Source organism: Homo sapiens, chromosome 13 (genome assembly GCF_000001405.40).
Source record: "Homo sapiens chromosome 13, GRCh38.p14 Primary Assembly".
NCBI classification, from domain to species: Eukaryota; Metazoa; Chordata; class Mammalia; order Primates; family Hominidae; genus Homo; species Homo sapiens.
Window position 1 is genome coordinate 68,861,284 of NC_000013.11, and position 15,541 is coordinate 68,876,824.

General features: G+C 34.8%; 2 long non-coding RNA genes across 3 annotated transcripts in view; both read right to left on the reverse strand.

Annotated features, from left to right (window-relative positions):
• LINC00550 (long intergenic non-protein coding RNA 550) overlaps positions 1-15,541 on the reverse strand; it is a 24,042-nt gene continuing 8,501 nt past the window's right edge. Inside the window, exons 2-3 of the long non-coding RNA NR_038878.1 lie at positions 8,780-8,931; positions 1-3,133 (exon numbers count right to left, since the gene is read on the reverse strand). This is a non-coding gene — a long non-coding RNA (long intergenic non-protein coding RNA 550). The remainder of the gene's footprint in view (positions 3,134-8,779; positions 8,932-15,541) is intronic.
• On the reverse strand, positions 9,787-13,482 carry LOC105370254 (uncharacterized). Of its 2 annotated transcripts, none has more exons than XR_942057.1 (3): positions 13,246-13,482; positions 12,366-12,523; positions 9,787-9,825 (listed from the first exon to the last, which is right to left on the reverse strand). It is a non-coding gene; the product is annotated as an uncharacterized LOC105370254 (long non-coding RNA). The 2 variants fall into 2 exon arrangements; XR_942056.2 differs by lacking the exon at positions 13,246-13,482 and adding an exon at positions 13,008-13,224.

The window sequence follows — 15,541 nt, forward strand, 5'->3', positions numbered from 1 at the left end:
TTTGGATTTATTTCTGGGTGCTTTATTCTGTCCCATTGTGTCTATTTCTATACCAATGCCATGCTGTTTTGATTATTATAGCCTTATAATCTGAAGTCAGTTTGTGTGAGGTTTTGAACTTCGTTCTTTTTGCTTAGGATTGCTTTGGCTATTCCGACTACATCTTGGTTCCATAAAAATTTTAGGATTGCTTTTCTATTTCTGTGAAAAATGACAATGGTATTTTGATAGGGAGGGCATTGAATGTGTATTTTATTTGGGGTAGTATGGTCATTTCAAGGATATTAATTCTTCTTATCCATGACTATAAGATGTCTTTTCATTTGTTTGTTCAATTTTTTCATCAATGTCTTATAGTTTTCCTTGAACAGATCTTTTACCTCCTTAGTTAAATTTATTCCTAGGTATTTTGTTTTTATTGTAGCTACTGGAAATAGGATTACCAACTTGATTTATTTTTCAACTATTTAATTATTGTATAGAAATGTTATTAACTTGTATATGTTAATTTTGTCTTCTGCAACTGTACTGAATTTATTTTTAAGCACTAAGAGTTATTTTGGTGTAGTCTTTAGGTTTTTGTAAATATAACATTATTTCATCTGCAGATAGGAACTATTTAACATTGTCTTTTCCAATTTGGATATCTTTTATTTTTTGTTTTGCCTGATTGGACTGTCTAGGACTTCCTAATACTAAGTTGAAAAAGAGTGATGAAAGTGAACATTCTTGTTTTATTCTAGTGCTTAGAGGAAAGACTCTCAACCTTTCCCATTCAGAATGACATTAGCTGTGGATTTGTCATATGTAGCCTTTATTATTCTGAGGTATGTTTCTCATATGTCTAGTTCATTGAGTTTTTGTCATGAAGAGATGTTGAATTTTATCAAATGCTTTTTCTACATCTATTGTGAGTATATGTTTCTGTCTTCATTTTCATGATGTGATACATCCCTTCAATAGATTTGCATATGTTAAACCATCCTTGAATCCTTAAGAAAAATCCCAATAGATCATGATGTATTATCTTTTTGATGTCCTGCTGAATTTTATTTGCTATTATGTTATTGAAAATTTTTGCATCTATCTTCATGAGGGATATTGACCTGTAAGTATTTTTGTTGTTGTTAGGCCTCTGGTTAGTTTGGTATCAGGGGAATGCTGGCCTCTTACAATGAGTTAGAAAGAATTCTCTCCTCTTCAGTTTTTTGAAATACTTTGAGAAGGATTGGTACTATTTCCTTTTTCTATGTTTGGTAGAATTCCATAGTGAATCCATTCAGCCATGAGCTTTTATTTGTTGAAAGATTTTTTATCAGTGATTTAATATCACTACTCATTATTGATCTGTTCAGATTTTCTATTTCTTTCTCATATAATCTTGATAGGTTGTATGTTTACAGAAATATACCCATTTTCTCTATGTTTTCCACTATTTTAATACATAGTTGTTCATAATCTCTGATGATATTTTGTATTTCTGTAGTATTAGTTGCAATGTTGCTTTTTTCATTTCTGATTTTGTTTATTTGGGTCTTTTCCTGGTTAGTCTAGCTAACATTTAATCATTTTTTTTTATCCTTTCAAAGAATCAACTTTTCACTGAACTTGTGTGTTTTTTAATGTCTATTTCATTTAGTTCTGCTTTGATCTTTATTATTTCTTTCCTTTTGCTAATTTCGGCTTTGTCTGGTTCATGCTACTCTAATTCCTTGAGGTGCATTGTTATACTATTTGAAAATTTTCTATTCTTTTGATATACATGTTTATTGCTACAAATTCCCCTCTTAGTACTGCTTTTGTTGAATCCCATAGTTTTCGGTATGTTGTGTTTCCATTTTCGTTTGTGATAATTTTTTTTTATTTTTATATTAATTTATTCATTGACCCAATGGCTGTTCAGGAGCGTGTTATTTCACATCCATGTATTTGTACAGTTTCAAAAGTTCCTCGTCGTGTTGATATCTAGTTATATTCCATTGTGTTCTTAGAAGATAATATAATTTTTTAAAATGTGTTGAAACTGCTTTGAAGAATAACATATGGCCTATCCTGGAGAATGTTCCATGTAGTGATGAGAAGAATGTGTAGTATATTTTGCAGTTATTGGATAAAATGTTCTGTAAATGTCTGTTAGGTCCCTTTGGTCTAAGATCCAGTTTACATTCAATGTTTCTTTTTTGATTTTCTGTCTAGATGATCTGTTTAATGCTGCTAGTGCATTGTTAACGTCCTCCACTATTATTGTATTGCAGTCTGTCTCTCTCTTTAGATCTAGGAATATATGCTTTATTAATCTGGGTGCTCCAGTGTTGGGTGCATACATATTTAGAATTGTTATATCCTTTTGCCAGATTTTTCCTTTTATCATTATATGATGCCCTTCATTGTCCTCTTTTTCTTTTTTTTTTCTTAACTGCTTTTAACTTGGAGTCTGTTTTATCTACTCTAACTAGAGCTAGTCCTGCTAGCTTGCATTTACGTGAAATATCTTTTGTCATTCCTTTATTTTCAGACTTTATATGTCTTTACAGGTGAAGTGCAGTTATTGGGGAGCCTTGCTTGCTGCTCAGTCTCAGGTGTGGTCAACCATGGTTGCTTGCACCTAAGGCCTGGTGGCAGCAGCTGTCACGTCTCTTGTGCCTCAGCGCCAGTGATGTTGGACTCTAGCACAGTGAGCAGTCTGTTGAAGACGGGGCTCTAAAATGGTGCCTTGCTGTAGCTGCTGTGGTCTCAGAGAATGTGTGGGACTCAGTGCTACCTTCCTCATTGGTGCAGTGCCTTCACACAATTTCCTTCTAGCTCTTTATGTTAGTTTCAGGGTCCTCCAAGGGTTAAGGGTCTTTCCTATGGCTAGGATTGCCAGAGTACATGATGCAAACGTAAACCTCTGAGGGTATTTCGCTTACTCTTTCTCCATACTGGGGAGTATCTCTCAGCTCTCAGCCACTGCTGGCCTTGCAAGCTGCCTTGCTTCCTTCTCCTTTGCTTTAATTATTGTCTGTCACTTTTCCATTGAATTTCCATTTTCTCTTGTTTCATCGATTTGAGGTGTGATAATCTATTCATAATTTTGGTGCTTCTAGTGGAGGAGTTGAGTACAAAGTGCTTCTTGTCAGCTATCATAAAGCCCCTTGAAAATTTTTGAAGAAAAATATGTTTTAAGCTTTAATATCTTTTACCATTTCAAGTTTTATTCAAAGATTTTTATCTGCATTACATAGATTCTATGTGTATTAGAAATTGTAAGTTTTAAGATATTGAATATTTATCTAAAAGCACACAAAAGTAAACATAATTTTGAGGTAGCAGTTAATTTTAGTGCTTGATATTTGGCTGGTGCCTTTTATGAATTTATGCAAAATTACTTATAACAAAAATTATATTTTGTCAAGATGACTTACTAGAGATGTTGGATATTAGTTTTTCTCAAAAAGTAGAACCAAAGTTACAGGGGAATAATTATATCTCAAATAGAATGCCAAGGGAAGGGTGGAGCCTAGTAAAGAGCTAATGGGAATAAACAAGGGTACAAAGAAAGAGGGAAGCGTGAAGCTGGCAGAAGTCACATAGGAACCATGAGGGACTTGGTAATTTGTTGAAAGGTTGAGTGGGAATGTTTTTATCTCCTCATCCCTGAGGCAGACTGCCAGTATCTGAAATGACAGAGAGCTCCTCTGCTCTCATAAACCAATCATCACTGGTGTGGGCAGCAACTTGGGTTCTTCTTGAGGGCATTACACCAGACTACCAACATATATCACTCTGGACCTAAGCCGTGGTGGGGGGCATTATACTGGGAAGTACAGCCATCAGGGGACTGTGTCCTAATTAGAGAATCTCTGCCCTTGTGTCTCCACATCACCAAAGCCCCCATAGACCATCTCCACCACCTGCTCAGCTTGCAACAACCACACAAGTCTCCCCGAACACAGAGGATTGCAAGGTTCCCAGTGTTCTAGCCCTTAGGCAGTGTTGCTTCTAAGGGAAGGTGGAGAGCAGCACATCAAGGGAGCAGCTTTTGGGACAAAAGAAATCAGAGCATATAATTTACTGTGCCTGAGAGCTCCCTGCTTAAGGGCTGAGAATGACTGTGACACTTCCAATGGAGATATGGGTGCTTTAGTTGGCTCTGCAAGGGAGAAGTGAAATTCTCTCCCTGTGGCCAACTGACCTCAGTATTTGAGAACAGCCTTGGGGATAGGCATTTCTCCTCCCACCTCCACCCACTGCTGCAGAAACACCTGTGGCTGCTCCAACAGGGGATTGATACAAGCATGCCAGAGGAGGATCATTCTAGGGCTCTTAGGGGCAACAGCATCCCAACTGGGCTAAGGCTTGCATGAAAGGTTTGGCCCTTCCCCTCTCTACACAAAGTAGCAGAATGTCTGTAGTAGAGGGGACCTACTAGCCTGAAGATTGAACTTCATGACCCAATACAAAATCTGCTGACATGAGTACATAGCACTAGAAAAGAAGCTTTCTGACACCCCCTCCATCCCAGCCCAGCAGGAATTTGTGAGCCTGTTCACAAGCCCTGTACATAGCTAGCTACTACAACCAACTTGAGAAAACCATCATAGTAAGGCTATCAATAACCAAGGAACACATATACAGAGAGTCTTTGCCACTGAAAGCACTTAGAACCAAAGGCGAAAAACCCTAGACAGCATACATTGTAGCCATGTTCCAAAAAGGAAATTTAAAAATCCCATCCAAATGAAAGTAAATTCAAATTCAAAAGTAAAAAGAGATCATTTATCCACATGCACACATATGTTTATTGTGGCACTGTTCACAATAGCAAAGACATGGAACCAACTAAATGCCCATCAATGATAATCTGTATAAAGAAAATGTGGCACATATACACCATGGAATACTATGAAGCCATAAAAAAGGATGAGTTCATGTCCTTTGCAGGGACATGAATGAATCTGGAAACCATCATTCTCAGCAAACCAAGACGGGAACAGAAAACCAAACACCACATGTTCTCACTCATAAGTGGGAGTTGAACAATGAGAATACATGGACGTGGGGAGGGGAACATCACACACTGTGGCCTGTCAGGGGGTGGGGGCTAGAGGAGGGAGAGCATTAGGAGAAATACCTAATGTAGATGACAGGTTGATGGGTGCAGCAGACCTCCATGGCACGTGTATACCTATGTAACAAACCTGCACGTTCTGCACATGTATCCCAGAACTTAAAGTATAATAAATAAAAAATATATATAAATTGGCAGAATGGAGAAAAAGTACAAAATCAAACCATATGCAGCTTAAAGACACCACACTGAATTATACATTCAAGGTAAAAGGGAAAATATTCCATGTAAACAGAAACCGACTGCCAACAGGAGTAACTATGCTTACATCAGATAAACGTACTTTAAATCAACAGCAGTATAAAAAAAAACAAAGAAGGTCACTATATAATGATAATGGGATCAATTTAGTAAGAATGCATAACAATCCTAAAGATATACTGAACCAATACTAAAACATCCAGATTCATAAAAACAAAATACTACTAGACCAAAGAAAAGAAATTTACAGCAACACGATAATAGTAGGAGTCTTTAATCCCTTACTCATAGCACTAGTCAGATTATTGAGCTACAAAATTAACAAAACAATTAGATTTTAATTGGACTTAGACCAAATGAACATAATAGATATTTGCATAACGTTCTACTCAGCAACAGCAGAAAATACATTCTTCTCATCAGCAGGTGGAATTTTTTTTTTTTGAGATGGAGTCTAGCTATACCAGACTAAACTATACTATATACTATATACTAGTCTATATACTAGACTATACTATATAGTCTAGCTGTACTAGCTGACCAGTCATAGCACTAGTCAGATTATTGAGCTATAAAATTAACAAAATAATTGGATTTTAATTGGACTTAGACCAAATGAACATAATAGATATTTGCGTAACGTTCTACTCAGCAACAGCAGAAAATACATTCTTCTCATGAGCAGGTGGAATTTTTTTTTTTTTTTTTGAGATGGAGTCTAGCATACCAGGCTGGTATGCCATGGTGTGATCTTAGCTCACTGCAACCTCTGCCTACCAGGTTCAAGGGATTCTCCTGCCTCAGCCTCCTGAGTAAACTGGAGGTGTGCCACCACGCCTGGCTAATTTTTGTATTTTTAGTATAGATGGGGTTTCACCATATTGGCCAGGCTGGTCTCAAACTCTTGACCTCAAGTGATCTGCCCACATCTGCCTCACAAAGTGCTGGGATTACTGGCTGAAACATTCTTTAGACTTGTTCCATGTGCTGATAATAGATCATATGTTGGGCCACAAACATATGGTCTATCTTATTGATAGATATTATGTCATATTTGATCGACCATATGTTACACCGTGAAACAGTCTCAAATTTTTTAAAATAAAAATTATGTCAAGTATCTTCTCAGGTCACAGAGGAATAAAACTATAAATCAATTCACAAAGAAATTCTCAAAACTATACAAATGCATGGAAATTAAACAATTTGCTCTTGAATGATCTTTGAGTTCGTAACAAATTTAAGCTAAAAATTAAAAATAATAAAACAAATGTAAATAGAGATGTAACATGCCAAAATCTCTGGGATGCAACAAATGCAGTGCTAAGAGGAAAATTTATAGCATTAACTGCTGACATCGAAGGAAAGAAAAATCATAAATTCACAACCCAATGTCACATCTGAAGGAACTAGAAAAGGAAAAACAAGCCAAACCCAAAGAGAAGAAGAAGAGAAACAATAAAGATAAGAGCAGAACTAAATGAAGTTGAGGGGACAAAAATCAATACAAAATATTAACAAAATTAAAATTTGGTTGTTTGAAAAGATAAACAAAATTGATAGCCTACATGCTAGATTAACCAAAAATGAAGAATAAAGATTAAAATAAGCATCACCAGAAGTGAAAAAAGAGACATTAAAATCAATACTACAAAAAATACAGAAGACCGTCAGAGACATCTATGAACATCTCTATACTCACAAACTATGCATCCTGGAAGAAATGAATAAAGAAACAAAAAGAAATAGAAATTCTAAACAGATGGTCGTCTAACAAGTAGTGATATTGAATCAATAATAAAAATTATTTTGTCCCCAAAAGCCCAAGATAACATAGATTCACAACCAAATTCCACCAGACATACAGAGAAGAACTGGTACAAATGTATATGTATGTATGTGTAAATGTACATGTATGTATATACATACATATATATACACACACACATGTATGTCTATACATACATATACATTTACACATACATACATACATGTATATGTAAAGTAAGGACTTAAATGACCTTTATAAATTGTTATGTAATATTTTGTTACATTTTTATATTGTTTGTATTTTATAGAGGTTAAAATTACATTTATTTTTATTTTCTTTTGAATATTTTATTAATTCTGACTTCTCAAACATGGATGAATTATTTTGCATTCACAAATTTTAAAGTGGAATGAAGAAAATTCTTGCAATATAATACTTTGAATCATGCTGAAGCTGTACTCCACTTTTCAGAACAGTAATATTACAGATTAACAGTTTGTTACAGAAGGATTCATGAGTATGAAAGAAAATCAGATAAAATACACTTATCCTAAATAGAATGAGTTGGAAGCTAAACTGTAAGTAGATACCAGGATATGATAATGGGGACTTAAAATGAGGACAACTCCACATAGTACTCTGAAAGCTTAACTAGAAGAATACAGGTAAGAAACTCACCTTCAGAAATATTTCTAGAACCCCAATTCCCATATGTCCTAAAAAGATTTGTAAAGTTATGTTGGCAGAATCCAAAGCAAAGAAGCAAGGGGATATAGACAGATAAGAACTTAAGGGAAATAGAAAATGAGAAAGAAAATAAAAGTCTAACACCTGAGACTAGGATAAGGAAACTTAAGAAAGCTAAATCTTTTTATCAACACAACCTACTAGGGAAAAATCAATGAACCCAAGAGAATTATACGTATGTTTTCCTATGTGACTCTCCTTCTAATTCCTACGCTGTTTATTATAGGGGACTTGTAAATTAACTGTCATATTTTTAGCAAAATGTAGTCACCCATTCTGCATCAACAAAATATAATGTACAACTAATCATATAAACACATATGTGTACATTGTATTTGTAAAATAAACGTGTAAAAAACAACAGCGAAATAATTATTTTTAGCTATTCAGGAGAATTGAGAGAATAAGGAACCTTCACAAAAGGGAATATTTTACTATTGCAAATGCCTTTGAACATTATCATCTTAATTATTGAATATGTTAATATAGTAATTCAAGTGGGCACATAACAATTTTGCATCAGAGCATACTCAATATCTTTATTCCTTTAATATGATCACAATCTAATTCGATAAATTGAAACATTTTAGACTCTATGTGTTAAACTACTAAATCTAAATATAATTGTACTCAGACAAAAGAGGAATGGTTTCTAACGGTTGTGAGCAATTAGAATATAACTTCAAAATATACATATGGGAGATGCATAGCACCTTTAAAAATAATATATTTTTGTGCCCACACTTTACAACATGTTCAAATGAAATATGGTACATACAATATAGCAAATTCTAATTCCTAGCTACCGTTATTAATAGATCCAAGTTAATAAGCCTGCATATTTTAATAATTAGAATTACTACAAATATTTTGGATCTCTTCTTTGTGGGCACACAATAAAACTGCACTTTCCTGCACACCGTAATGTTACATGTGGCCATATGACTTGCCTGGACATTGGAGTCTGAGTAGAAGAAACCCATGGCACTTTTGCTTATAAACTTTCGAAGCTTAGTGCATGATTCTCTATATCCACTTTCTCCCTGCTACTGTTTCTGAAAGGACTTGTCAAGATGGATACTCTGTCTGAATCTCTGCCAACCTGAGGTGGATATTTAGCAAGAGCAAAATTAAATGTGTTGGGAAACATAGAGTAGGCTTAAGGAGCGGGTTAGCACTTCAGCATAACAAGTTTATTCTTAATCATACTAATCTAATAAGATATATTATCACTGATGATATAAACCAGCTTTAGCATTATATATCCCAAATGCCACCCCTTGGACTACTATTGTCTGCAAGTCTCTCAGAAACCTCTTTTTGTTCTGAATCACATAATATTCATATTTATTTCTGGGAACGATATTTGTAGTCACTAATCAGATACCCATTGGAAGAATATGTGTCAATAAAAATACAAAAAGTCTTATATAACATTATAGAACTTTATAGTCAGAAAAATTCAGTAAAGCCAGTATATATTTCATATTTTTATTTTCTATCTCTTGAGGTCCATGCCGAGAATATCCCTAATGATTTAAAAGATTGGCCTGAGTCCTAAGTTTTAGATGGTTTAATGAACCGTTGCTTATATATCTTATTATATATCCTATTGGTACAGCATATAGGCTATACCAATTAGTTATATATTACATTTCCTAAAATTTCTTGACTATCTTTTCTGAAAACAATTCTATAATATAATCAATGTAAAGAATCCAATTACTTTTGATGGTCATCAGATCTAAACCTCATCTCATCAGATTCTAAAGGAACACTGGGAAATTTAGGCGCCCTAGGGAACGAATAGTTGTATTCTGCTGTTCTTCAGTTGTTTCTACGGGAGGTGGGAAAAACAAAGAAAAGAGAAACAAGGAAATGGGTCAGGCGCAGTCACTCATGCCTGTAATTCCAGCACTTTGGGAGGCAGAAGCGGGTGGATCACCTGTGCTCAGGAGTTCCAGACCAGCATGGGCAACATGGGAAAACTCCACCTCTACAAAAAAAGAACGGGTGTTCAGCGTTCTTCAAAACTAAGATAGAAAATGAAAGAAAACCTTAGCTACCTGTATGACAGCATAACAATCAACTTTATACTTTAGTGTATTCATACCTAGAAACAGAGAGGCCATTGGTGGAATTAATTTAAACCGTAAAGTGAACATTTGCTTTTCAGGAACTATATACTTTTTTCAATTTGTTAACTGATACATAATAATTTTTATATTTATTGGGTACATGTGACATTTTTATATTTACATGCAAATGTGTAATGATCAAATCAGGGTAATTGGGATAATCAATCCTTCACCTCAAACGTTCATCATTTCTTTCTGTTGGGAACATTCCAAATCTTCTAGCTCTTTTGGCATATATAATAAATTATTTTTAACCATAGTCACTCGACTGTGCTAACTTTCCTTAGAATCTCACAGGATTCTTGTAATTGGAGGTATTTTGAGTGTAAGTGTGCCTACTTGTACCATTCTTTTATTAAATACTGTATTTCTAGTTTCAGCTGTTCTAAAATTTTCCTATTTAAAAGTTTCCTATTACTTATAATAATATAACAAATTTCAGAATTGCCCAATATTCAACTGTAGGCCATCAATGGTAGTTATTCCAATTTATACTCTCCTTCTTCCCAATTAGGCATGCTATTGCAGGTAATGTTACCATACCATGGTACAGGTTAATCTATAGTTATGCTATAATGCTGGTGACTGCTGCCATAGTATGAATGTGGCCCCCATGTTTCAGTTTAAGTCATCTAATTGTGTCTTCTTGTCTTCCAGTATATTTTGCATTAAAATCTATTCCTCTCAAAATATATTGTTTTCTACCGCAGACTATTTAACTTTAACCTTAGCATGCAGTCTTAGAGTCTTAGATAGAGGTTTGGGGAGATAACACTAAGCCTCAAGTCATTCATCCTTTACCACTACCACATTAAAAGATTCAGTTTAATCTCATCTTTTATATAGCTTTGGTTTTTGATATTGTTTTCCATCCATTTTTGCATTATTGGATTTAAATTTTTTCAAGATAGAATAAAGGGAACATATTTAACAGGCTGTTTAAGCTGGTGTGTTACCTGACCCAGGGATTGGTTTTCCTCTATCCAGATAGCAACAATGCACCACTAGGGTTTTTCTCGCTTTTTCTTTTTCTTTTATGGCAACCATATTAATTTTATCTATTTAAATTATCCCATTATTTATTAAATATTATGGTACTACTCAGTTTAGTTTAGTTCTTTCTTATTATCATTATTTTCTGTCAGCCATTCTCCTTCTTTTGAATGACTCTAACATTGCTAATACCAATGAAGAGCACATTTGCATGGTAGCGAATTGGCCCAGATTCCAAAATAGTCTCTTTCCCTCTTAAAAGGAGGGTTGAATAAAGTCCATACAGAGAATGAGTACTATCTGAATCATAGCATCTACCATTGTTTAGATCAGAGGTATATCATTTGTCTTGCCTCATTACTCATCATTGCATATTCGAAACTTATGTTGCTGGTACCTAAACATTTTGTTGCTGTTGTAACAAATTATCCCAGATATAGTGACTTAAAACAATATAGTGTTATTATACTACAGTTCTGGAAGTCAGAAGTCCAATGTTGTTATGGGGCTAATATCAAGGTGTTAGCAAACCTGTATTCCTTCCCGAGACTCTAAGGAAGAAAACATTTCCTTTTCTTTTCCAGTTTCTGAAAAGTGCATGTGTTCCTTGGTTCTTGGCTGCTTTACTCCAAAGATCTCCTATTCTGTTGTCATATTCCTATCTCTCTTTTATATGGACCCTCTTTGACTCTGAATTTCCTGACTCTGACCTTCCTGACTCTCTTTTATATGGACCCTGTGATTATATTGTGTCCTCTTAGATAACTAAGGAAAATTTCTCCAACTCGATAGCCTTATTGTAATTATGTCTTCAAAAGTTACTTTTGCTTTTTAAATTAACATATACATAGATTTAGGCAATTAGGGTGCGGCAACTTTTGGGGGAGGCATTATTTTTCCTGCCATAGTTTCAAATATGCCTCAAATTTTTCTTTGCTCAGTTTTGTTTACTTTGCCTTCTCATATCAGTGGACGTATTATTGCTAAGGGTTGGCACACTCAGAAAATGGTATTTCATAGCCATTACCAACTTTTTACACCCCCTCTTTGCAATCTATTTTATCAATTTTTTGAGATAAAGGTATTTCATTTATATTCCACTGATAAGATTCACCACTGAATATCTGCTGCTTTCAGTTCTTCAAACCAAGGACAGGAGGACCACCATGCCATCATCAAAAATTTTTAACTCTTTTCTATACATATATATTTTTAACTTAAAATTTCTTTAACTAATAGATTTTGGAGACTAACAGTCAACCCCGCTTCTGATACTACCCTGCAATGCTCATGCTTTCAAACAACAATGGTTATAGGTTTGGATTGACAATCTGCTTCATTAGGAAAACCAAAAACAACAACAAAAAACACAAAACAGGTTTCATTCCATATCAGATTGATTTACCTTATGAAAGAGGACATTCCATTTTTCTGAAGGTGAGAGAATCAATACGTAGCTAATGTTTTAAGACTTCTAGTTACAATTTCCAAAGGTTCAGATATCCTAAAGTCAAGGATATGACTTGATGCCACTCATGATGTATGTAAACATGAGAGGTGAGCCTGTTTGAGAAAGTGGTCATTTCAAAAAAGCCATAGAGAATACCCTTCAAAGAATACCCTTAGCTGGTCACATTATTCCCTCAAGGATATAGGACTGGCTAATTACAAAATTCTCAAAGGATTCATAAATAACCCCCTTTTCTGTTCAGTTACATCTCATGAAATCCAGCCATTCATTACTTGTTAAATAATGTTTAACAATGAGATACAAGGGTTTTGTTCAGTACATAACCTAGGCTGAATTCTTATTCATCATTGATCCCATACAGATTCCTAATTGTTCCTTGAGTTAATGTTGTAAGGTGGATTTAATGAAAGATCAAATTCTCTGGTGTGTCTGATGCTAGAGGAAAAGACTACACAACTAGTCATTAACATTGTCTTCTAATGACACTCATCAGGTTTTGAAAATTTGTATCCATTATCTTTTCAAATATTACTTTTCTTTATTATCTATCACTTTACGTTATTGGATTCCAATTACCAGTATTTTGGACTTTTCACTGATTTCCACAATTTATTCTCCTCTCTCAGTCTCTTCTCTTGCATGTCTTGCTTATAATGTTATGGACACTCCTCTCACTGAAAAGTGACACATAGCTTCATCTTGGATTGAATGTTAGTTAATTTGTAATTTCTTAGTCCCCTAGAATATGGCAAAAGGGATATATGTGCCATACAAAGGATATTGCTTCTTTCCTGCTCACTCTAAGAATACAAACCCTTGGAATCCAAGCACCATCCTGTTAGGGAGGGGGCATGGTGAGTTCACAGGTAGGGGCCCAGGTAGAAAGTAAATGAGGCCCTTCATTCCCACTGCAAGCCAGCATTCTTTTGAAGAAATGAGAACCAAATAATTTTAGCCTCCAGGCTTGGAGTCATCCCTCTTAGGCCCCAGGTATCATGGAGCAGGGAAAAACCATCCTCATTATGACCTATTTGAATTCTTAACCTGTGTAATCCAGCACCATAATAACTGTTTGATGATGAGTTCATTTGCTCACAATTTCAAAGTATGTTTTGAAGTAATTCGCTATATAGCCAAAGAAACTACCATAGGGCAAGGTAAGGAAATTAAGGGCTGGCTCCCTCAACTGAGTGAATCTGTCTTTCATTTGAATATGAGAAGTAGTGAATGAGGAATATTTTTGGGAAAGTTTTATATGATTCAGTGGGAATTGGTTCATGTGTTGGGTAAGTCATGAGATCACAAAATTCTCTCTCTTCTAAGTCACAAATATGTGCCATTACCTTGCCGGATGCAATCAAACCAGCTCTGGACAGTATTTGTTTTTCTGGCAGAGGGAGATGTTTTGCTCAAATATTTCAACACTAATATTGTATTAAACTCAGTAGAAATCTTGGTGAAGGTATAAACCTTCATTAAAGAAAGATTTTTAACATATTAATTCCAATATGCTCTGGTATGTTTAAAGGACATGACTGGGAATGCTGAAGGGTCAGAAGAGTGAGGTCAGTTTTTGAGACTCCTGTGGTCTGTGTATATAATGCAAACTCATCACTGTCAATTGTGGGGCTTACCTCTGCTTCCTGTTAGCCACTGTGCCAGTGAAGGAAAAGAAACCCATATTTCCTCTGGTACAATTGGTTGGAAGAGTCAGATGAATATAAATGCCATGTTGAATGAATGCAAGATGAATGAATGATTTTCCCTAGTGATACTTGGAAACTTGAGCCAAAGAACATGTGTTCTTTGTGACTTGCCCCAAGTCATAAAGTTATGCCCCAAGATAGGAAGGACCGTAGATTTTGCTGAGTAGTGATCTCTAAGGATTCTAAGTCATAAAATGTAGAGTATATAAGAAAAGAGCACTTTCTCTCCAAGAATATATAAACGATAACATTAAGTAATTCAAAAATGAATATCTGTGGCTTTTTTCCCCCAAATAAGGTATAAAACAATTACATTAGTATTAACAATTACATTACTATTAACTAATGGTTGCTGTGTTAATCTCTACATGAATACTTTTTCAATAGCTATGTGTATAATACAAATTATTTTGGTTTATATGTATAGTTAAATAAAAATTAAAGTCTACAGAAAACAATCCCTAAGAGAAAAATATTTTGAATAGTTGATGTAAAATTCAAACTAATATAATATACATGGAGACTAATAGAAAGAAAGAAATTTAGCTTTGAGAAAGTTACACACACAGTTAAATGCTTCTATTAACATCTGTAGAAAGTTTCAAGTAATGGTAGGTAAAATTGTGTGACAAATAGTCCAGGTAGTAAAGTACTATGAGTAAGCATTGGGGTTATGGTTATGTTTAATGTGTTCCAGGAGGGAATTCCTAATAGTCTTAACGTATCAAGTATTGAAGATGTTTCCCCAAAGTATTATTTTTTAAAATGTCTGTGTAAACTGTAGCAAGCATTCCAGAGACTAAGATGGAGGTAAATCCAAAGAAAAGGGTTAGAAGATTTTAAGATTTTTATTATAACCTTAGAGATACCTAAAGATTTTTGCATTTTTGGATACTCCATATAACTTTTACTCATAGGGTTACTCAAGATTGACTAAACATGTTTCATTTAAGACAAATGAGAATCTGAACAGAGTGTGAAACCAAGCACCTGTAACTGCTTGTTGAGACTGAGTAATAAATAACCGGGACTGATGAGATGCAGCTTACCTGGAGAATGGAAGCTAATCTCATTGTCCTGAGTAATTATTTTCCTGAGTTGGAAATGTAATTAAGCCAAAGCAATCCCATAATTGATACCTTTCTGGAGCTGAGGTTGTCAACAAACACATAGTGAATACACATGACTGGGACATCAGATGCTATGCATGAAAATCAGGAGATCATTGCTATGCTGTTAGTGAATGTTTTTTGCTGTTTCCTTTCTTCAAATTCAGTAAATGTGGTTTTTTCTTTTTCTTTTTCTTTTTTTTTTTGAGAGGGAGTCTCCCTCTGTCCCCCAGGCTGGAGTGCAGTGGCGTGATCTCGGCTAACTGCAAGCTCTACCGCCAGGGTTCAAGCGATT